Source organism: Homo sapiens, chromosome 9 (genome assembly GCF_000001405.40).
Source record: "Homo sapiens chromosome 9, GRCh38.p14 Primary Assembly".
Taxonomy (NCBI): domain Eukaryota; kingdom Metazoa; phylum Chordata; class Mammalia; order Primates; family Hominidae; genus Homo; species Homo sapiens.
The window spans coordinates 129,676,952-129,700,120 of record NC_000009.12 but is presented as its reverse complement, the minus strand read 5'-3'; the positions used below and the strand labels follow the sequence as shown (position 1 = coordinate 129,700,120).

The 23,169-nt window shown below is 54.4% G+C and overlaps 1 protein-coding gene across 2 annotated transcripts in view, besides 4 other annotated features; it reads right to left on the bottom strand.

Annotated features, from left to right (window-relative positions):
* PRRX2 (paired related homeobox 2) overlaps nt 1-23,169 on the bottom strand; it is a 57,028-nt gene that overhangs the window by 22,554 nt on the left and 11,305 nt on the right. The window contains exon 1 of one of the 2 annotated variants that reach the window (XM_017014803.1): nt 1,312-1,405. The exons of the other annotated variant lie outside the window; for it this stretch is intronic. Within the exon in view, the coding sequence (XP_016870292.1) occupies nt 1,312-1,390 (79 nt within the window). The 5' untranslated portion in view covers nt 1,391-1,405. Of the gene's footprint in view, nt 1-1,311; nt 1,406-23,169 lie in introns of those variants that run through there. 2 annotated transcript variants of the gene reach the window in all.
* Nucleotides 13,822-14,366: an enhancer, noted in NCBI's record as "H3K4me1 hESC enhancer chr9:132448034-132448578 (GRCh37/hg19 assembly coordinates)". NCBI's record gives its function as "activates a minimal SCP1, AML or CMV promoter by ChIP-STARR-seq in primed H9 embryonic stem cells {active_cell/tissue: H9 hESC(primed)}" and the evidence as "EXISTENCE:reporter gene assay evidence [ECO:0000049][PMID:30033119]".
* Nucleotides 19,849-20,349: an enhancer, noted in NCBI's record as "H3K4me1 hESC enhancer chr9:132442051-132442551 (GRCh37/hg19 assembly coordinates)". NCBI's record gives its function as "activates a minimal SCP1, AML or CMV promoter by ChIP-STARR-seq in primed H9 embryonic stem cells {active_cell/tissue: H9 hESC(primed)}" and the evidence as "EXISTENCE:reporter gene assay evidence [ECO:0000049][PMID:30033119]".
* Nucleotides 20,350-20,850: an enhancer, noted in NCBI's record as "H3K4me1 hESC enhancer chr9:132441550-132442050 (GRCh37/hg19 assembly coordinates)". NCBI's record gives its function as "activates a minimal SCP1, AML or CMV promoter by ChIP-STARR-seq in primed H9 embryonic stem cells {active_cell/tissue: H9 hESC(primed)}" and the evidence as "EXISTENCE:reporter gene assay evidence [ECO:0000049][PMID:30033119]".
* Nucleotides 22,146-22,989: an enhancer, noted in NCBI's record as "H3K4me1 hESC enhancer chr9:132439411-132440254 (GRCh37/hg19 assembly coordinates)". NCBI's record gives its function as "activates a minimal SCP1, AML or CMV promoter by ChIP-STARR-seq in naive H9 embryonic stem cells {active_cell/tissue: H9 hESC(naive)}" and the evidence as "EXISTENCE:reporter gene assay evidence [ECO:0000049][PMID:30033119]".

Sequence of the window (23,169 nt, the reverse complement as noted above, 5' to 3'; positions counted from 1 at the left end):
GTTCTTAAAGCAGTGCCTGGCACGTAGTAAGTGCTAAATCACGTTAGCCATTAGTATATTTATCTGGAGTTAGGTGCGTGTGCGTTCCCCTCCCACACTTGCTGTATATTGGCTGTGCAGCTTTGAGGCAATTTACTGAACCTCTCTAGACCTCGGTTTGTAACTGTCTGGTGGAGACTTGGGATGCTGAGAGGCAGAAGCAACCATGTGCCTGGCACGCTGAGGTCTCTCTCCTGAACAGCTGCTGTCGGTGCCTCAGAGACCAAGTTCTCTGCTCCCTGGGACACTTCCTCCCCAAAGCTTGCACTGACACACACAGAGCAGAGGCTGCCCTGAAGGTGCCCAAGGAAAGAATTCATCCTTCGTGGATGCTTCCCAGAAAGCTGGGCTGGACCATGTAGAAAGCCATGGCACAGTCACACACTGGATATTCTTTATTCCGGGCGGATGCATAGCAGGTCCTCAATAAATACTGAATGAATATGTAAGTGAATGAATGAATGGATTTTGGCTCCTGATGGGAACATAATCTCAATTCTCTGCTTGCCCAAACACCTGAAAATTTGTATGCACTATACACCATTACAAGCCTTCTCACTTCTGGACCCTCCTATCTGCAGAAACTAATATATTGATGGATATATGTATACACACACACACACACACACACACACACACACATATATATATTTTTTTTGAGACAGAGTCTTGCCCTGTTGCCCAGGCTGCAGTGCAATGGCGTGATCTCGGCTCACTGCAACTTCCACCTCCTGGGTTTAAGTGTTTCTCCCACCTCAGCCTCCCAAGCAACTGGGATTACAGGTGCGCACCACCACGCCCAGCTAATTTTGTGTGTATATATTTTAGACGAGGTTTCACCATGTTGGCCAGGCTGGTCTCGAACTCCTGACCTCAAGTGATCTGCCCACCTTGGCCTCCCAAAGTTCTGGGATTATGGGCGTGAGCCACTGCGCCCAGCCTATTGATGGATTTTTTTAATTGACAGGCCAGAGCATGGGCTAGGGAAATCACCTCCCACAGGGAAATGCTTCAGCCTGGCTTTGCTGGTGCTCATAGTCAGAGGAACAGGCACAGCGGCCTTCCTGTGGGGAAGGGCCTCCAGCATGCCCTGGGAGGGAAGGGACAGTCAGGCTATCCTGATGGCCCTCCAGCTGGGCCAGCATCCTCCCTCTACTTCCTAGAGTTTAGGAACGAACCACCTTGTTTCCTGAGCCTCCAGACACCAGGAAGATTTGATCCCAAGCCCAAGGTTTCATCTCTGGAGTCCAGCAGGCAGGGTGGGAATCCTACCTTCTCCACATCCCAGCTCTGTGACTTTGAGCCTGTGACCGCTCCTCTCTGGGCCTGTTTCCCTGTGAAGTGGGCCCATAGGGCCTCAGATGGGATGGTAGTGACGTGAGGTAGTGACGTGAGGGGGCGTCCACCCAGTACTGACAAATGGCCAAAGCCTTGGCTGCCCAGTCTGGGTTGTCTCAACCTCTGCCCACACGCGCCTAGCAGGGATTAGTCTCTGAGTTGATGTGCATGGCTGACACCCCCACCCTACCCAGCATCCCAGCTCCCCTTTTCCGGAACAAGGAAGGCAGGCGTGGCGGGAAAAACCCGCTCTTGCCACGTGTGTTTCACCAAACACCCTCCTCCCGATCATGGGGAAGGGCTGCACACCAGGGGGAACTCGGGGAACTGCTGAGTCCCAAGCCCTGGGCAAGCCCTCTTCTCTGCAGCCAGACTGGGTTGGCCTGGCCCAGCCCGGCCTGGCAGCACCACCGCCTGGTCTTACGCTTCCTTTTGGTGGAGAACCATGGAGACAGAGCCTAAGTGCCCCCGCCCCCCCCCCCCCCCGCCCCATCCAACCACCCATTTCTCCTAAGCTCCCCTGCTGGGAGCTCCCAGCTCCACTGCTCACTTTATAGGCCCTGCGAGGGGGCCCAGAGAGCTGAAGGGGCTGGTCCAGAAAGGCAGAGCACCCCGAAGCTGCCTGGGGACGGGAAGGCTCGGTGCTGACAGCAGCCAGGACCAGGGACCACCTTGTGGTTAAGACAGATTTGGTGCGGAGCTGGGACCGGCCTCAATGAAGCCCTTGTACTCACCCAGTGGGTGAAAAGCCCCCTTCCGAATCCCGGCGCTTAAAACCCTCCAACCTCCACGCTCCCCTCCCCCACCCACATTTTGGCGTTTCTCGCATGCCCCAAAGGCCTCATCTTAGGGGAAGCTCTGACTCAGAATTTTGAAAAATCTTACGCACAAACTTAGGAAAACAAACTTCGGGGGGCGGGGAAGCGTCCCCAGCCCTTTGTGGGGTGGAGACAGCGGGGGCGCTAGCAGGGGGGCAGGTTTCTGAGAAGCCATCTTTCCCTCCCCCGGGACAGGGCCGAGGGGCGAGGCGGACCCCACCCGTCTCGTGGGTGGCTTTCCCATCTGGACGGGGAGCTGGCTTGCTGGGCGGGGGTCTCCCCTCCGCACGCGCGGGTCTGGGGTCGGTCCGAAATCCAGGGGATGCCAGGGCCGGCGCGCCAGCCGCCGCCGCCCAGCCCGGCCATGTGCGCGCCAGCCAGTGCGTGCGAGCGCGCCGCGCTGGTGGCGGCCAGAGCGGCGCCGCGGCACATCTGGTTCCAGACGAGCCCCTGGCGCCTGCCTCGCCGCAGTCCCGCGGCCCAGACACACAGACGTTAATAGATCCCGCGCCCAGCCCCGCGCTGCCCGCGCCGCCGCCGCCCAGCTGCTCCGAGGGTGCGCGCCCCGGCCGGGCGGGAGGGGGCACGGCCTAGGGGAGGGGGAGCGGGACGCAGCGCTCCCCTGCAGCCCAGCCAGCTCCCTCCTCGCCTTCCTTCCAGCTCAGACACCTCCCTCTCCACTCCCGCTCTCCAGGCAGGTCCCGGGTGGGAGCCAGGACTGACTGCTCTTTCCTATCCTGGCACCGAGTGCAAGGGAATCCAACCCCCGATTAGTGACAAAGGCAGTTCCTACGTGTCCAGCTCCGGCCAAGGCCAAGGCTAAGGGCCAGGCCGGGCCGGGCGCCTATGGGCGTGTCTCCACACACGGTAACCCTATGAGGCAGGTACTGCTGCTACCGTCCCCGTTTAACAGTCGGGATAACCGAGACTAGGGAGGGAGGTCAGTCGCCCAAGGTCACACAGCGAGAAAGCTGCAGAGCGGCCATTCAGCTGGTCTATCGGACTCTGGCCCCAGGGGGGTCCGCGCTGCACCCCCTCTTCAACTGCTAGCCCACACACCTGGAACTCAAAGTCACCTTCACCCGGGGCGCCCCTCCCTTGCCCTCCCTCTGTCAGGGACCCCCTCTGCACCTGCAACCTTGATCCCTTAGCGAGGGTCCTCCCACCCAAGCATCTGGGGAAAGTGAAGCTTTGTGGGGACTCTGCAGGAATTTGCCCAGCTCCTTTCCCTTGGCAAGGCGGCAAGACAGCTGCTTATTTGGAATCCACCCCTTATCAAACCGGGAACCGAGGGTAGCTTTGCTTTATAAAATGTATTTTTTAAAAATTATTATTACTATTATTTTTTTCGAGACAGGGTCTAACTCTGTGGCGCAGGCTGGAGTGCAGCGGCGCGATCTGGGCTCCGCTGCAGCCTTGAACTCTCAGGCTTAAGCGATCCTCCCACCTGAGCCTCTAGAGTAGCTGAAATTACAGGCGCCCACTACCACGCCTGGCCAATTTTTGTATTTTTTGTAGAGACGGGGTTTCACCATGTTGCCCAGGCTGGTGCCTAACCCCTGGGCTCAAGCGATCCATCCGCCTCAGCCTCCCAAAGTGCTGGGATTCCAGGCGTGAGCCACCGTGCCCAGCCAAGGTGCCCTGCTTTAGAAGTACCATTCTACTATTCAGGGGTATGTGGCTTGTTTTCGTTTTGAAAAGGGGGCTGTGAGCATTAGGACCCCCCACACTAGATTCCATGATAATACATCTGAGTCTTAGCCAGTTGGTGAGTGGAGGTGGGTTTTGTCTTCCTCCCTTTCTCTCCTTCTGTGACTCCCTACCCCACCTTTCTTTTTTTTTTCGTTTTCTTTCTTTTACTGTGGACTTTAGCTCCTATGGGCTAAGCATGTGTGCTTGCAAATTCCAAGTAATTTGTTGGCTCCAGATTAAACTTCAGCTTTCCGCCTTCTCAGAGGGGGCTTTATAAGGAAATGGGGCCACATCAAAGTGCCATGTTCACCCTTAAAATGGGAGAAGAGTGTTTTTTTCTGAGCTGCTTACATGACAGCAGAGGTTCTGTTTAGAACTTTCCCGTTAATGCTCTCTGAATTCACTTGTGGGGGCTTGTTAACTTGGGCTGTCAGAAATTCTGGATTTTAGAAAAAAAACTCACTTTTAAAAAGTTCCCCGCCTAAAGGTAGTGAGGCCCATAATGGCCTGGTGAATGTGCCTAAGCATCTGAAAGCAGCGGGAAAGTCCTTTTGACTTCCCAGCCAAGTCTCCTGTTAAAGGTTTGGGGTGGCGGGGGCCTGGAGGAAGAGCAGCGTGGGCCAGGAAAGGGAGGTGCCTGCCAGCTGGGGGCTCCCGGCCCGGCTCCCAGCTCTGTGCCAGGCTAAGACTGAGCCCTTCCCCAGCAGGCCTGAAAAGGGGGTAAACACAACAAGGCTGTGGGGTGTATAAAAACCAAACCAAAGAAGCACATTGGTCAAGTAAAGCCCAGAGCAAGAGACCGGGAATTTGGAGGGAAGCTGATTCTTCAAGCATCTGCCATTTCCGCAGCCTCTCTCTTTGAAAAGACAGTTTCCTCTGGGGCTAAAGACAGCTGGTGGCAATTTCAGGTCACAGAACTCTGTCCTCTTGCCTTTCCTTCTCCTCCATGGCCTCTCCTCTGTCCCCCTTAGCCAGAAACCTCTGGAGGGAGTGTTGATTACGGGCCACCTATCCACACTCACGGACTGTGGGGTGGAGAAGGGAATAATCCTCCTAGAACTTCTAGAATGACCCTGGATCTTCATGAGGCCCTGGCCTTGGCCAGGTCCAGCCACTTGCCTGTGGGGTGTTGGGGTTCTCCCTGGACTGCTAGGTGACCCCAAAAGATTAATCAGTGGGTACTGGGACCCTGCCCCCAGACCCCTCTGAGCCAGCCTGCAGCTCGCCCCATTCCTCCTCCATGGTGAGCCCTTTCATCTGGAAGCTGCAGGCAAGTGGGTCTTGGGGGGCTGATGAGAGGGGATGGTGGCTGAATCCCCCAGGCCAGAAGGCTGGCCCAGCCATGAAGCCTTCGTTGGACCACTAGGGTCATGGCACACATCATAGTGTTTATCACTATTCTGAATGGGGCTCCCTCCGCTGCCCCCCATGGACTCCCCTATGTGCCAGGTACTTTAAACACACACACACACAGAGCTTGGAGGAATCCTCACACCTGCAAACCCAGGAAGCAAGTATTAACAAGAGGAAGAAACAGGATCTGTGGGGTCAAGTGACTTCTCTAAGGCCACACAGCCAGTTGGTGGAAGAACTGGGACTCATCCACATCCTGATGCACCAGATTCCAGCACCCAAGCTTCCAACCCCTGAACCGCGCTGCCTCCCTGCCGAGCACGCATGAATCTCCCTTCACCTTCTCCCCAGGAGGCAGCCAGCACAGAATGTCAGAGTCAGAAGGGACTTCTGAAGGGCTGGACACGGTGGCTTATGCCCATAATCCCAGCACTGTGGGAGGCCGAGGCGGGCGGATCACTTGAGGTCAGGAGTTGGAGACTGGCCCAGCCAACATGGCAAAAACCCATCTCTACTAAAAATACACAAGTTAGCCGGGCATGGTGGCACACACCCATAGTCCCGGCTAGTCGGGAGGCTGAGAGAATGGCTTGAATCCAGGGAGGCAGGAGAATGGCTTGAATCCAGGAGGCAGAGGTTGCAGTGAGCCAGGATCAGGCCACCGCACTCCAGCCTGGGCCACAGAGGGAGACTGTCTTAGAAAATTAAAGGGGAGACGTGGGGTGTTTTTGAGCACACTCAGGCCGGGGCTGGCTCATGGTGTCATTTCCCTGCCACTCCTGATCGCCTGCTAGTAGCTGCTTAGAACCCTGTGTTGTGGAGGATTCGGAGGGTCTCTGGTGGATGAGCTTCGTCTGCCATGGGCTCAGGAAGAGCTTCAGAAAAACCCCAAGCAAGGACTCTGCCTTCACTCCCTGCTGGGGGCCCTTTCTACCTCCAAGGACACAGCAAACTATGTCACGTGTGGCATCGTCTTACCATCCCTTGTCCCTTGACACGCTCATTTTGGGAAGTTCCACATAGACCACAGAAAGACATTTGAAGAGAATGATGTTCAATTCTGCCTTTTAAAATAAACAAGCAGCAATGTGGCATTGCCAGGAGGCAAACCCTCGTCCCTCTTCCAAGGCCTTGGTGGTGGCAGGAAAAATTATCCAACCTCTCTGGACATATTTCCAATAGGGACAATATTCTTCCTCCTGCACATAAATACTGTATTAACCAGTAATGATGGCAAGGCGAGTTTTGCCCCAAAAGAACGATCTTTTTTTTTTTTTTTTTTGAGACAGAGTTTCGCTCTTGTCGCCCAGGCTGGATGGAGTGCAATAGCGTGATCTCAGCTCACTGCAACCTCTGCCTCCTGGGTTCAAGTGATTCTCCAGCCTCAGCCTCCCAAGTAGCTGGGATTACAGGCACCCACCACCATGCCCAGCTAATTTTTGTATTTTTAGTAGAGACGGGGTTTCGCCATGTTGGCCAGGCTTGTCTTGAACTCCTGACCTCAGGTGATCCGCCCGCCTTGGCCTCCCAAAGTGCTAAGATTACAGGTGTGAGCCACCGCACCCAGCTGAGAACAATCTATTTTTTTTAAAAGACTATCTACCATGAGAAAACTTCTTTAGCAGATTAAATTATAAACAACCTGATTTTAAAATGGACGGAAGCCCTGAGCAGACACCTCACCAAAAAGACAGACAGATGGCAAGTAAGCATATGAAAGATACACCGTATCTTGTATCACTGGGGAAATGCAAATTAAAACTACAGTGAGATACCACCACACGGCTATTAGAATGCCCAGAATCCAGAACACTGACAACCAAATGCTGGCGAAGATGTGGGGCAACAGGAACTCTCATCCACTGCTGGCGAGAATGCGAAATGGTACAGCCACTTTGGAAGACAGCTTGGCCGTTTCTTACAAAACTAAACATACTTTTACCGTACGATTTGGCCATCACACTCCTTGGTTCCTACCCAAATGAGGTGGAAACTTCTGTCCACAAAAAGGCCTGCCCAGGGATGTTTATAGCAGCTCTGTTCATAATTGCCAAAACTTAGAAGCAACTAACACGTCCTCCAGTAGGTGAATGGATAAACTGTGCTACATCCAGACAAAGGAATATTACTCAGCACTGAAAAAAGGAGCTATCGAACCATGAAAAAATGTGGAAGAAACTTACATGGATATTTACTAAGTGAAAGAAGCCAACCTCAAGAGGCTACATACTGTATGATTCCAACCACATGACGTTCTGAAAAAGGCAAATCTTTGGAGATAGTAAAAGGGTCAGTGGTTGCAGGGCTGCAGGAGGGACGGATGAAGAGGCAGAACCCGGGGGACTGTTAGGGCAGTGAAGCCACTCTGGGTGATACTGCAGTGGTGGATCCGTGTCATTATGCATTTCTCTAACCCCACAGAATGAACAACACCAAGAGGGAACCCCAATGTACACTATGGACTTTGAGTGATGATGGTATGTCACTGTAGGCTCACTGACTGTAACGAATGTAACACTCTGGTGGGGGATGGTGGGGGTGGAGGTGGGGACAGGAGATAGATGGGGAATCTCTGCACTTTCCACTCAACTTTGCTGTGAATCTAAAACTGCTCTAAAAAAATAAAGTCTAGGCCAGGCGTGGTGGCTCATGCCTGTAATCCCAGCACTTTGGGAGGCAGAGGAGAGTAGATCACTTTAGGTCAGGAGTTCGAGACCAGCCTGGTCAACACAGCAAAACCTTATCACTTCTAAAAAAAAATACAAAAACTAGCCAGGCGTGGTGGTGTGTACCTGTATAGTCCCAGCTACTTGGGAGGCTGAGGTGGGAGAATCGCTTGAACCCAGGAGGTGGAGATTGCAGTGAGCCGAGATCACACCATTGCACTCCAGCCTGGGTGACAGAGTGAGACCCTGCCTCAAAAATAAAATAAATAAATAAATAAATAAGTACCGTCTAGGCCAGGCACGATGGCTCATACCTGTAGTCTGGGCAAACACAGTGACACCCTGTCCCTACAAAAAAAATTTTTTTAATTAGCTGAGCATGGTGGTGTGTGCCTGTAGTCCCAGCTGTTAGGGAGGCTGAGGTGGGAGGATGGCTTGAGCCCGGGAGATGGAGGCTGCCATGAGCTGTGATCATGCCACTGCACTTCAGCCTGGATGACAGAGCTAGACCCTGTCTCAAAAAAAAAAAAAAAGTATATTTAAAAAGGGAAAAGAATATTAAAAAATAAATTTCACAACTGGCTCTCTGTGGGGGAGGAGATCCTTAATTTACAGTGTTTGTCAATTTCTGGGGTATAAATACTTCTACCATGGCCAATTTCAAGCCACAACATAACATCAATGAAGACGAAATCGAGAAGAGGTGCCCTAAAGCCCACCAGTGTGTGGTATTCCTACCATCCAGATACCACAGTGCAAATAACCTCAAGCATAAATAACAGCAAAATGTAAAATTATGAGAAAGAGATGAGATCTGAGTATCTATTGCCTGTGTTTTAAATATAATTTCTGTGATTGTAAGTTTATATAATTTTTTTTTTTTGACAGAGTCGCTTTGTCATGCAGGCTGGGTGCAATGGTGCGATCTTGGGTCACCGCAACCCCTGCCTCCCAGGTTCAAGCAATTCTCCTGCCTCAGCCTCCCATGTAGCTGGGATTACAGGTTCCCGCCATGACGCGTGTCTAATTTTTTTTTTTTTTTTTGTATATTTAGCAGAGACAGGGTTTCACCATGTTGTCTAGGCTGGTCCCGAACTCCTGACCTCAAGTGATCCACCCGCCTCAGCCTCCCAAAGTGCTGGGATTACAGGCATAAGCCACTGTGTCCGGGCCTTAATTTTTAATAATATCTGTGTTTGACAACCAGCTTCCAAAATTCTAAAAACTTAACAATAGGCTCTTGTGCAGTAGGACAAGCGGGCACAAGCACACCACTCTAGTTTACAGCCCACCTAAAGGAGAGGGTCTTATTTTTGCCTCTCTCCTCTCATCCTTACCCATATGCAGCTGTGTTTTGTTGGAGATGGCCTCATGGTGTAGAGCCCATTTGAGAGTTAAGAGCTGGCACTGGCTGGGCGCGGTGGCTCATGCCTGTAATCCCAGCACTTTGGGAGGCCAAGGCGGGCAGATCATGAGGTCAGGAGTTCAAGACCAGCCTGGTCAACATAGTGAAACCCCATCTCTACTAAAAATACAAAAAATTAGCCAGAAGTGGTGGCAGGCATCTGTAATCCCAGCTACTCAGGAGGCTGAGGCAGGAGAATCGCTTGAACCCAGGAGGCGGAGACTGCAGTGAGCCGAGATCGCACCACTGCACTCCAGCCTGGGTGACAGAGCGAGACTCCGTCTTAAAAAAAAAAAAAAAAAAAAGAGCTGGCACCGTACTTATGGTGCTAGTCATGTCTGTCCAAGGACTAGCAGCCCCCAGAGCTGCTGCCTTTGGGAGGGCCCTCTCAGGTCTCCAGATCCTGGGTACCTTGATCAGGGTTCAGATCCTACCCATTGGCGTGATACAACCTGTGTGCCAACTCCATCACCTGCGCCGGGCAGCAGGGGCCTTTCTAAAGTGAGTTGTTACCCTCAAAAGTGTGCCCAGAGGGCTGGAAAAGTCATGTTGGAGAAAACTCGGGCCCCAGCTCTTAGGCCAACTCTCAGGGAGAGAATGACGCAGCCCTGAAAACAGAGGATCGCAGCGGAGAGGAGGACAGGCTGGGTAAGGTGGGAGGGATGAAGGCAGCAGGGTGGGACAGGGCCTCGGCCCTAGCTGCACGGGGCATTACTGGGGAGCAGTAGAGGGTGGAGCCTTTAAAAATAAGATGCTATTGGCCAGGCGCGGTGGCTCACGCCTGTGATCCCAGCACTTTGGGAGGCTGAGGCGGGCGGATCACAAGGTCAAGAGATTGAGACCATCCTGGCCAACACGGTGAAACCCCGTCTCTACTAAAAATACAAAAAATAGCCAGGCGTGATGGCGCGCGCCTGTAATACGAGCTACTTGGGAGGCTGAAGCAGGAGAATCGCTTGAACCTGGGAGACAGAGGTTGCAGTGAGCCAAGATTGTGCCACTGCACTCCAGCCTGGGCGAAAGAGTAAGACTCCGTCTCAATAAATAAATAAATAAGCAAAATAAGATGCCAAGCCCCCGCCCCCACCCCGGAGAGTCGGACTCCACAGGTTCGGAGTGAGGCCTGGCCATCAGCATTCATTGAAAGCTCGCCAGCTCATGCTACCGTGCAGCCAGGGTTGAGGACCACTCACTGGCGACACCAAGTGCAAGGTCTTTGCGCATCAGACCAGCCTAGAGTTGAGGCCCAGCCCTATGGCCAGGGACCACTTGTCCCAAATAAGCCTTGGTATCTTCATCTGCAAAAGCGACATCTACTTACAGGGTTGGTATTGGTGATAACTCAAGCAAACACGCACAGTGGGAGATGGGAGAATGGGAAATGATGATGGATGCCACTAACTCGCGTGGAGCAATTCCTTCAAGCGGAGCACTAAGCCAAATGCCTGGTCACACCGAAATCTGGCAGTCCTGAGAGACAAGCATTATCACTTACTCCCCTTTTCCAAACGAGGAAGCCCTGGCTCAGGGAGCATGGTGACCTGCACAAGTGGCAGAGGCAGGATTCCAGCCGAAGCAGGCAGGCTTCTTACTGAAGACCCCTGTGCTCTGGGAGCTCAGAGAAGAGCTTAGGGGTGGAGAAGGCAGGGAAGCTTGAAGGAGGAGAGAAATGGAGAGAAGACAGGAGTGTGTTCAGGAGCACAGGAGTGTCTCTCTGTGCCATGAAGCCAAACCAGCACCCCTAAGCCATGAGCCTACCCGCAGCCAACGACACACAACATTTCTGGCCTCGTGCACACTTCACCTCTTTTCTGTGAGACCCAACCTGAAAAGATTCTATTCTGTATGATTCCAGCAACAGGACAGACACTTTCCTTTCCTTTCCATTCTATGAATGAGAAGCCTGAGGCCGCAGAGGGGAGGATGCTAGGCCTAGAGCCACCCAACCAGAGGGTGGTGCTGTGTGAACTGGTGAAGAGAGTAAACAATGGGCTCCTACTCATCCTACAAGACCCAACTGGAAAAGCCCTCTCCTGATGCCCAGAACCCCTGTGCACGTTTGCTTCAGCCTCCTCACACTGGGTTCCAGGCTTGGTCTCCTGTCCTAGCTCTGCTAGGCTCCCAGGTTTCAGGTGTCTCTTTGGGGCCCATGCCATTGAATGGCAGGAGACAGAGTGACAGAAATGTGGACCCAGTGAGCCCTCCTGGCTGTTCTCCTTCAGAGTCAAGAGACCTTGTCCTGACGTGGATGATGCTTCTTGGGAGAAACGTGAGGTCAGTGTGCTACTGCGTGTTTGCGGGGTAGGGAAAGGAAGGCACCTGGGGCAGAGACTGTGGGAGGGAGTTCATGATCAGAGACCACACTGTAGACACAGGTCCAGGGTAGCTCTTCAAATGACCCCCATTATATCATGGGGCTCTTCCCAGTCCTCAAAGCCATTTCTTGACCGGGCACGGTGACTCACACCTATAATCCCAGCACTTTTAGGAGGCTGAGGTGGGAGGATCGCTTGAGTCCAAGAGTTCAAGACCAGCTTGGGCAACAGAGTGAGACCCCCATCTCTACAAAAAAGACAAAAATTAGCCAGGCATGGTAGTGGCATGCCTGTAGTCCCAGTTACCTGGCAGGCTGAGGTGGGAGGATGGCTTGAGCCCAGAGGCGGAGGTTGCAGTGAGCCAAGATAGCACCACTGCACTCCAGCCTGGGTGACAGAGTGAGACCCCCATCTCTACAAAAAATATAAAAGTTAGCCAGGCGTGGTGGTGCACACTTGTAATCCTAGCTACTCAGGAGGCTTAGGCAGGAGGACCGCTTGAGCCCAGGAGGTCAAGGCTGCGGTGAGCAGTGATTGCACCACTGCACTCCAGCCTGAGTGACAGACTGTCCCCGCTACCTCCAGAAAGCCCTTTCTCATCCACCCTCAATCACTGTGCGAGGGGGCTACTGTCATCAGGTTGCTTTAGAAAAGGAGAAACTGAGGCTCAGAGAGCTGATGCTGCCTGCCTAGGCCTGCCCGGCCAGGGTCTGAGCCAGTCTGTCTGCCTGCCCTTGTCTCCTGGGCCATGCTACCTTTCTGCTCCCCAAATCTCGGGTGTGATGAGTTCCCACACCAACCAGGCTGCTAGAATTCCACGGAGTTGGCGCAGCGATCAAAAGGGTATAGTTTGTGAGTCACTCATTCATTCATCCAGGCAGCATTTACTGAGCACCACCCTTGTGCCAGGCGCCACTGTTGACACAGCCTTGAGTGTGCAGAGGGAAGCCGGCTGGTACAGCGCAAGCAAGTTGAGTTAGTGACGGTGGAGTGGCTGCCAGCCCTTCCTCTGGCACGCGGCTCCTCCTCTCTGTGCCTCAGTTTCCCAGCCACTCATGGATCATTGTAAGGATTCTGAGATGATGCCTGGAAGGTGGTCAGGTGGCAGGACTCACAGGGGTCCCTGGGGCCCTCCACACCCCTCACCAACCCCGAGGGGCCCGCTGAACAACACCCCTGCCAGGCCTCGAGGCCACTTTTGCCCCTTTCCTTCCATGAAGCATCTGTGCATGTTGAATGCAGCCGACTTTTTTTCTTTTTTAATGTTTTATAGAGTTGGTGATCTCATTCTGTGGCCTAAGCTGGTCTTGAACTCCTGGCCCCAAGTGATCCTCCCACCTAGGCCTCCCAATGTGCTGGGATTACACCATGCCCGGCCTGCAGCCTGCCTCAGCCAAGTAGGAGGAGGGCACCTGAAGAAGCAGATCTGTCCCCTTTACTACTCCCCCACCCCCTCTGCAGGGGGCTTCCCTGCAGGTGGCTGTCCCTCAGCCAGCGCCAATCAAATATGGAAAAGAGCCTGCCTGCAATTGCTTAATTCTCCCCTGCCCAGGGCCTGCCCCCAACCCGGGCTCCTCTGATTTCATTAGCATTCTGCCCAGACCCCACTCCCCCGCTGGACCCATCAAGGCCCTCCCCCGAAAAAATAAGGACATTGGAGTATTTTCTGGAAGGGAGGGGAGGGGCCTGGGTGGAGGAGGGGCGGCCGGTGGTGAGGGCGAATCCGGAGGCTGCAGATGACCAGGGATCCCCCTTCTGAGCAGGTCCTGGTGTGGGGCAAGGTGAGGGAGGCACCCAGGCTGCAAAAGTAAGAGGGTCAGCTGTGTGTGGTGGCTGTAGCCTGTAATCCCAGTGCTTTAGGAGGCTGAGGTGGGAGGCTCATGCCTGTGATCCCAGAGCTTTAGGAGGCTGAGGTGGGAGAATCACTTGAGCCCAGGAGCTCAAGAACAGCCTGGGCAACACAGTAAGACTCCTCTTAAAAAAATTAGCCAGTGTGGCAGCGTGCACCTGTGGCCAGCTACTTGGGAGGCTGAGGCGGAAGGATCACTTGAGCCCAGGACATGGAGACTGCAGTGAGCTGTGATCGCACCACTGCACTCCAGCCTGGGCGACACAGCAAGACCAAGTCTCAAAAACAAAACAAAAGTAAGGAGGTCTGCATCCAGATACCCGCCCCTCATGGGCCCAGCCCTAACAGCGATGCCTCCTTGCCTCTGCTCCTGAGGCATCTCACTCCCCTCACCCTTGTCTTGACTCTGGTTCTGAGCAACACCAGAAGGGGAGCCTACATGCCAGCCCAGGGTCTAGTTCCCAGGACCTGCCCCCTCCAGCTTCACTGGGTGCCCCTGCCCCCTACGAGCCCCACCCACTACAAGCCATCCTGGCCTTCCTTATGCTCCTTGGACGCTGGTACTCTGCTACTTCCAGTCTTTGCACATGCAGTTCCCCCTGGCTGGAAGACTTTTCCCACCTCTTCACAAAGCCCAACCCAGCCCTCACCTCTCTTCTTAGACAACACTTCCTGTAGGAACCCTTCCCTCACTGGTCCAGAAAGGCGTGGGGGTCTGGCCACGTCTCCCAGCCACTCCACCATCACTAACTCAACTTGCTTACACTGCACCAAGAACCGGGTTCCCTCTGCGCCCTCAGGGCTGTGTCAGCAGTGGCGCCTGGCACATTGTCGGTGCTCAGTAAACACTGCATGGATGAATGAATGAATGACTCACAAACCACGCCCTTAAGTCTTTGGGTGCATAATACCTAAGGCCCTGGAGCTTTTTAAAGGCCCAGGAAAATGGGAGACTGGAAATTGTTTTTAACTTAGTTCCAAAGTACAGTGAAGAAGGGAAACTGGCCGGGCGCAGTGGCTCATGCCTGTAGTCCCAACACTTTGGGAGGCTGAGGTGGGAGGACTGCTTAAGTCCAGCAGTTCGAGACGCTCGTCTCTACAAAAAATTTAAAGAATTAGCCAGGTGGGGGTGGTGGCACATGTCACCCAGCTACTCAGGAGGCTGAGGTGGGAGGATCAACAGCCCAGGAGGTTGAGGCTATAGTGAGCTGTGATTGTGCCACTGCACTCCAGCCTGGGCAACAGAGTGAGACCCTGCCTCAAAAAAATAAAAATAAAAAAAGGAAATGAACAAACAGTGAGTGAAATGTGGACTGCCTGTGATGGCACGGCAAGCGGACCACAGTCCACCCTGCTTTTGGCTCCGCATACTTGCCATGGTGCTTAATGTAACGTGAGGGGGATGCTGCTACTGGTAGGGGGCCCTGGGCCCAGCCAGACCCCAACTTGCCCTGCTCCCTGGCCTCCCAGGCCTGTGCTTGGAACCAGGTAGGGTGGTGATGACCCCTCCACAGCTTCCTGAGTACCACTCAGCCCACGGGGCCCACTCTGGCCAGAGTGATGCCCTCAGCCCAGGGAGAGGGCAGGAGGGGCGTCAGTGGCACACTGCCTGCCCTGGTAGAGGGGACAAGATGGTGGAAGGGTGGCCCAGTGGCAGTTGTCCAGGCCTCCTGGTTGCTTTGAGAGTCATGATTGACACAGGAACCCCGGAATGAGTTCCCTCAACTCCACCCACAAGCTTGGTGACCTTGGGAAAGCTTCTTGACCTCTCTGAGCCTTGGCTGCCTCGTCTATAAAGCAAGCACAATTAACAGTCCCTCCGTGATTAGGTGAGACAATACATGAGATGTACCTGAAGCACTGCTTGTCCTGTTTAGAGAACTCTTCCTTTATAAACGTGAGTTCTGTTACACCCAGGAGCACCACGTGGAGAGCAACCTCCCTACATTCCCCGTCCCAGAGGTGCCACTGAGGCCCCACCCCACACAGCCCAGGCCTCGGCCAATCAGCACTCCACTTCTCTTGGCCATATGATTGGTTCAGAAGTGGGTAAGGACCCAATCATGGCACAGCGAGACTTTTTCGGAGATTTCTGGTCTCTTTTCTGTTGGGGTGTGTGTGGGTGTGTGTGTGTGTGTGTGTGTGTGTGTGTGTGTGTGTGTGATTTCTGGTATCTTTTCTGTTGGGTGTGTGTGTGTGTGTGTGTGTGTGTGTGTGTTGTATCTGTGTGTGTCTCTCTCTGTGTGTGTGTCTCCTCTATAGGAAAGGGTGAAGCCAGAGAGAGAGAACCCAGGCCCCAGTGTCATTGCTTAAGCCTGGATCCAGCAGTGCCTGAAGTCCCACCCTGGATTTCTAAATTAGGCTAATAAATATATCCTAGTTTGCTTAAGCTAGCTGGGACCAGTCTTCTACCCATCATAGGTGACAGCCTTGACTGATATAATGCCAAAGTCCAACTATAACCGTACCCTTGTCCTCACCCTGGCAGAACTAGAGTAGTGTGGCTCCCACTCCAGGAACCCCTCACCCCCAGGTCTGCAGGGAGCACAGTGCCAGAGGGACTGGTGGACCTGCCTCAGGAATCTTCTCTCCTCTGCTCCCATCGCTGCCTCCACCACATGGGGTCCAGGGTCATGGGTCCCTCTCTGGGCGAATTTAGGATGTGAGTCTCTGCAGCCTGTTGGGAGGGGCTCCCGTTAGCCATAGCCTTGTACAGGAAGAGGGTAGGGACAGGAGGGCTCTGAAGTCTGATCCTGGGCTTTAGCCTTACCTCTGCAGGTGCTGGCTGTGCAGCCTGGGGGTGGCGCTCCCGCCTCTGAGCCCCAGAGGCCCCTGTGCTTCTCTTCGGTGGAATTTAACAGCACTGCAGTAAATTACCTGCCTGTGTCTTTTTTATTTTTTATTTTTTTTTGAGATGGAGTCTCGCTCTGTCGCCCATGCTGGAGTGCAGTGGCGCGATCTCTGCTCACTGCAAGCTCCGCCTCCCGGGTTCCCGCCATTCTCCTGCCTCAGCCTCCCGAGTAGTTGGGACTACAGGTGCCCGTCACCACGCCCAGCTAATTTTTTGTATTTTTAGTAGAGACAGGGTTTCACCGTTTTAGCCAGGACGGTCTCGATCTCCTGACCTCGTGATCCGCCCACCTCGGCCTCCCAAAGTGCTGGGATTACAGGCGTGAGCCACCGCGCCCGGCCTCCTGCCTGTGTCTTTATCAGTTACCTGTAAGCTCGATAAGGGCTGGCAGGTGGGTGTGTGCCCAGGACCTGCACAGAGCAGGGGCTCTCAAGAAATATGTGCTGCAGGAAGGAGCCTCTGTTTCTCATCTCTAAAATGGAAATGTCAATATCTGTCTATAAAGATGAGGGGAGACCGTGTGTGTCATGTGCTTAGTCTGTAGTGGGGGCTTCCTAAAAGGGAGATGATTAATTACTGTTATGAAGGGAGTCCCAGGAGGGGTTCCTGATGGGCAGTGACTTCACCCAAATAAGACTTAATGGTGGCCTGGCAGGAACTGGCATAGCCAGAGGGAATTTTTTTTTTTTTAGACAGAGTCTCACTCTCACCCAGGCTGGAGTGTAGTGGCGCCATCTCAGCTCACTGCAACCTTCGCCTCCCAGGTTCTAGCAATTCTCCTGCCTCAGCCTCCCGAGTAGCTGGGACTACAGGTGCATGCCACCATGCTGGATTAATTGTTGTATTTTTAGTAGAGATGGGGGGGGTTCACCATGTTGGTCAGGCTGGTTTCGAACACCTGACCTCAGGTGATCCGCCCACTCCGGCCTCCCAAAGTGCTGGGATTACAGGCATGAGCCACTGGGCCCGGCCAAGGAGGGGAAGATTGAGGGACGGGTCTGGGGTCTCCATGGTGGTGCTGGAAGACCTGAGGATGGAGCCCCTCTCTGGGGCTGTCCTTGACCCCGCCACAGGCCCAGGCTTTTGTCTGCTGTGCCAAAGACTGGGTAGGGCCACAGATACCTGAGCTGTTTCCGGGATTGGGCGAAGCCATTGCTGAGAGGGGGTGGAGACACTCCCTGCCCTCCTCCCTCCAGCTTCACCCTGGACCAGTCAAGAGACAAAGGAATAAACAAGTCCCTATTCTCACCACCCCGCCCCAGGGTGGGGCTGGGGCGGAGGAGTGGAGTTTTTGCCTTAATATGGAGCTAGTGTGGGTTGGGACAGTTCTCCAACCCCATGCTAGGGAGATGAGCGTCCTTGGGGGCCTGCGGTTGCCAGGGGTATGGCTGGTCCTCAGCCCCTCCTCTCTTAGGGGCCCTCACAGGAGTTGCGAATAATAGCAATGGCAGTAATAGTAACATAGTGCGCACAGCAGCAGCGGCGGGGACATCTGTGCCAGGACTTTGTGAAGTGCTTCCTATCTCTCTGCATCCTCACCACCCACGCCTCTGAGTAGGTGCTGTCACCGTCCCCACCTCACAGACCAAGAAACTGAGGTTGAGGGAAAGAAGCCCCTTGCCCCAGGGAGCCAGGTGGGATCCATGTGACATCCTGGCCCCACTCTGGACCTCCTCTCCCTGGGGTACCTCGGGCACAGGAGGAGGCCACGGGCATTTGGCCAACAGCTCCCCAGAGCTGCTTTCCTCCTAAGACCCACGCCTCCTCCTCAGGGACCAGCCTGTACCGTGGGAAGGTGGAGGGAGGAAAATTCTCGGCGCCACAGGCAGCCCATACGCTTCCAGTCACTGCTGTGGTTCCCCATTTTGAATAAAGCAGCAAACATGTGCCCGTGATCCCCAGGGAGCCCAGAAGCCTCCAGAACCTGGAGGTTCTTCCGCAGCGGGCTCCAAGCTGTCCCTGTGCCGAAGGAGATGCATTGGCCTTTAGTGTTTCTGGAATGGGGTTCACTCCCCACACCGGGGCTCCCATCCCACACCATCTGCCCCAGCCTCAGATCCACTATTCACTTTGGGTTTCCATCTGGTTCTGGTTTTGGGGGGTGGAGGGAGGGCGGGTTTAGGGAGGAGCAGAGAGGGGGCACCGGATGGAGGCAAATCCAAGACATTCACAACTTTTCTGGGTGCCCCAGACACGGGCATCTCCCCACCTGCTGCCGCATCCACAACCCCCAGGGCTGCTTTATCATCAAGGAACCTGCTTTCTGTTTTTTTTTGAAATGGAGTCTTGCTCTGTCGCCCAGGCTGGAGTGCAGTGGCATGATCCTGGCTCACTACAACCTCCACCTCCCGGGTTCAAGCAATTCTCCTGCCTCAGCCTCCCGAGTAGCTGGGAGTACAGGTGCACACCACCATGCCTGGCTAATTTTTGTATTTTTAATAGAGACGGGGTTTTGCCATGTTGGCCAGGCTGGTCTCGAACACCTGACCTCAGGTGATCCGCCCGCCTCAGCCTCCCAAAGTGCTGGGATTACAGGTGTGAGCCATCACACCCAACCAGGGAACCTGCTCTCTGATGCCTGCTTGGACCTCAGTGTCCTAGGCAGAAAAGGAGCCAGCACTGAAACCAGCTCTCCCAGGGATGCCAATGCCACATGGAACCCAGCTTTGCCGGAGCCCGGGGACTGGCTCAGAGTGTGGGTGCGAGTGCATGTGCACGCTCTAGGCACGCAGGGAGTACCCATCTGCAATGCTCCAGGCTGCAAATCTGAACGTGTCAGCCTTCCTCCCCAAGGTCGTCTTAGCCACAGACCTTCTAGATGTCGTAATTAATCTCTAATTTGAATTTTTAACTTCAAACACCACATTACAAAAACAGTTGTGTTTTATAGATGGTATCTGCCATTATATATGGTTACCATTTGTGCTGTGGAAAATAAAGCAAGATGCCTCCTTCTGCACAGGAGTGGCGGTCACATCCAGCCAGAAGCTAGGTTCAGTGCAGTGGATCAGCACTGTCCTTCCAGAGAGGGGATCCCAGGTCGCCAGGCAGGGCTGGGCAGGGGAGAGGGATCTGGGTCCTGTGTGCGGGCTGGGGGCGGGGTGTTGGGCTGGGTAACTTATCTCCCTTTTGGAAAGCATGGTTAGATACCAGCAAAGCCGTGAGGCAAGCTCCTGACACCCAGAACTCTGTTCCTAATCTCAGCTCCCCTTCCTGTGGGGCTTGGGGAAACCTCTCCCTCAGTTTTTCCATCTGTGAAGGGAACGTGATGGTCCTAAATGGGACATCTGCCCCTCCTCCCAGGTGTCTAGGGCGGGTGGGGGGGGTGGGAGAGAGAGAGAGAAAGCAAATTGTTATTTTTCCTTTTCTTTTCTTTTCTTTTTTTTTTTTTTTTGAGACGGAGTCTCGCTCTGTCACCCAGGCTGGAGTGCAGTGGCATGATCTCAGCGCACTGCAACCTCCGCCTCCCAGGTTCAAGCGATTCTCCTGTGTCAGCCTCCGGAGTAGTTGGGATTACAGGTGCACGCCACCACGCCCAGCTAACTTCGTATTTTTAGTAGAGATGGGGCTTCACCATGTTGGCCAGGCAGGTCTCGAACTCTTGACCTCAGGTGATCCACCCTTCTCAGCCTCCCAAAGTGCTGAGATTACAGGCATGAGCCACCGTGCCTGCCTAAATTGGTGTTTACTGAGCACTCTTCAGGGGCGAGGCAGGCGTAAAGCTAATCCCCTACCTGCCTGGTCTTATCGACTCCTCTGAGCAGCCCAAACCCCAGGTACTATTATGATGATCATTTTGCAGGTGAGGAATTTGAGGCTCAGAGACATGAGTGCTTTGCCAAGATCACCCAGCAAGTGGAGCTGAGGTTGGGCCAGAATCTCCACAGCAGAGCCGGGCCACTCCCCAGCGTGTCCTATCCCTGGGAAACGGAGGCCCTGGAGGGGTGCCCTTGGGAGCTCTCTGGAGCTGGCTCTACATTTCTCTGTCTGCATCACCACTGAGCTGCATGGGGGACAAGAGGGGCTGCCCCTGCCCCTAGCCCGCCTGCCTGGGCCAGGGATCACCTCTGGTTTCGTTCAGCAGCCCCTGCTCCAGCGTTATGGAACCTTCTTACCTTTCCCTTCCTAACCAGGCCTGGAGAGGCTGGGTAAGGTCGCAGTCAGCCCAATCCAGGGACTCCAGGTCGGCAGGGGTAGGGAATAGATCACAGTCAAGAGCCCAAGGCCTGGTGCCCCCACGTACTTACTGTGTAACTTGGCTTCCTGGGCCTCAGTTTCCTCACCTAGAAAATGGGGTCATAAAACCGCCTGCCTTCTAGAATGTTTGGGAGGATTTAATGAGATGATCCATGCAGAGGGTGTAGCACTTGGCAGGTGCACAATAAATGGTCCTCTTGGATCATGGGGCCGACGATGATGGAGGTGGGCCCTCACAGCCACCTCCCCCCTGCCACCGTCACCCAGCTCAACTGTTCCGACTCTGCAGCAGCACCCCGGACTCCCTCCATTCCTTGTGGAATACAGGATTCAAGGTCAGATAGCCTGGGATGGCCTTCCTTCCTCATCTTGTGAACAAAGCTTCCACCCCAGGGTCGTCATGCACTTGGGACACACAGCCCTGGTCCTGGGTCCCTGACACCATGAATTCATCACCAGCCATGGCTCCCCAGTGCCTGGACATCTGCACCCCCGTCCCCACCTCCCTGATTGGTGCTGCCGTCCTGCACGTGGTGGACTGCGACGTGGGGCACGGCCACCTGCCCCACCTCTGGCTCTAAATGGCTCCTGGAGCTTTCCCTCCCTGGCTGAGGATCTGGGCTTCTCAGGCAGTGCAGGTCTCACGGCAGCTGGGCCAGGGGCAGCCAGTTAGGGGCTTGTGGTCAGCTCCTTTGGAGACTGGGGCAGCCCAGCGAGCTCTGGGCAACTGAGACACAACTGTCATCCCCATATCACACACTGGCTTCCCATGTGACCGTAAGAGATGCTCACTGAGAGCGCCCCCAGAGAGGGCCGGAGTGAGTGGCCACTCTGGACACTCACAGACACACAGAACGCATCCCCACTGCTCTTAACACAAAAGTCACACACCTCAAACAAGGTCTGCCAGATCACAGGCCCCCATCATGCTCTCTCCCACCCTTTCTGCTCCAGAACAGCCATGCTCTTTCCAACTCGGAGCCTTTCCGTCTGCTGTTTCCTCCACCCGGCGTGCCCTCCCTGACCTCCTCTACTGGACAACTCCACTCATTCTTGAGGTCCCTTCTGAAATTCTGTTTCCCCCAGGAAACCGTCCCTGAACCTCCAGACAATGTAGGGGCCCCGTCGTGTGTTGTCATAGCATCCAGCATGTCTCCTTCACACCAAGGACCACAGCTCCCTTGATTCCTGCAGGGGCCCCTGTGCCTGGCCAGGGCCTGGCGTGCAGTAGGTGCTCAACAATATTTGTGGAAGGAGAGAAGCATTCACAGAAGGCCTCCCTGACTTTTCCTCCCTTGACAGAGAAACCAGCCCCTTGAAAAAGCCGCCCCCTAGGCTGGGCACAGTGGCTCACGCTTGTAACCCCAGCACTTTGGGAGGTCGAGGCAGGCGGATCACCTGAGGCCAGGAGTTCGAGACCAGCCTGGCCAACGTGACAAAACCCCATCTCTACTAAAAATACAAAAATGTGCCAGGCATGGTGGTACGTGCCTGTAATTCTAGCTACTCGAGAGGCTGAGGCAGGACAATCACCTGAACCCTGGAGGCGGAGGTTGTAGCGAGCCGAGATTGCGCCACTGCACTCCAGCCTGGGCGACAGAGTGAGACTCCATCTCAAAAAAAAAAAAAAAAAAAAAAAGAAAGAAAGAAAGAAAAAGCAGCCGCAGCCTTAAATTTGCTGCAACAGCAACAGTTTTCTTTAAACAGCAACCCTGCTTTCAGCTGGTATTAGATCTTTGCCTTTTCTTTCTTCCTTCCCAGTGAAATCAGAGTAGTCCGTTTTTACTTCTTGTCTCTAGCAATTTCCCGCTTTGAGCCCTGACACTCTCCTCCCGCAGGGATGTGGTGGTGGGGCGGCCCGCTCTGCGGGAGAGGCTGGCCTTCCAATTAAAACATGATGTCTCTAGGAAACATGAGCTTCCCTAAGGCAAGGGCCCCTCCCTGGTCACCCCCCTCCCCATCACAGCAAGGCCTGGAGCCTCCCCGCCTGACCATGCCACGGCCCAGTGTCTGCATGGGTGTGTCCCTGCAAATGGGGGGTTTGGAGGGGGGCCTTCCTCAGGACACTGCAGAGCTCTCCAGGCAGGAACCGGGAGGTGGGGAGGAACCCCCCCATCCCTCCTGGGCCTCCCCCAGAGGCAGAGCCTAGGCTGCTTCTAGCAGGAGAACCCCGCGCGGCTCCTTGGCCATCTGAGGCACCGGCGTGAGGTGGCCAGTGTGATACCTGGGCTCTGGGGATCACTGCGTATTTCCTGGGTCAAGTCACTTTATCCTTCTAAGCCTCGGTTTCCTCGCCTGTAAGATGAGGATAAAGCTTCACCTCTCTCGTGAGGCTGCTGAGTGATTCAGTGAGAGGCTCTGCATAAATCCTAGAGCTCGGAGACTGGCAGATGGTAAGAACGGGATCGCTGGGGGCGCTCTGTGCTGAGATTATGCCCTTTGGGACCAGGGCTGGCCTGTTCACTGGGATTTTCCCAGCACCACGCCTCAAAACAACACGCACATGCGCTGAACAAATGAGCAAATAAGGAGAATCCTATGCAGTTTTCTTGCAAGCAAAATGCAGAGCAGGATCTTGGTGGCAAGTGGGGAGGCACGGAGTTTAACATACAGTCTCTTAGGGGGAAGGCAAAGGGGTCTCTTCTG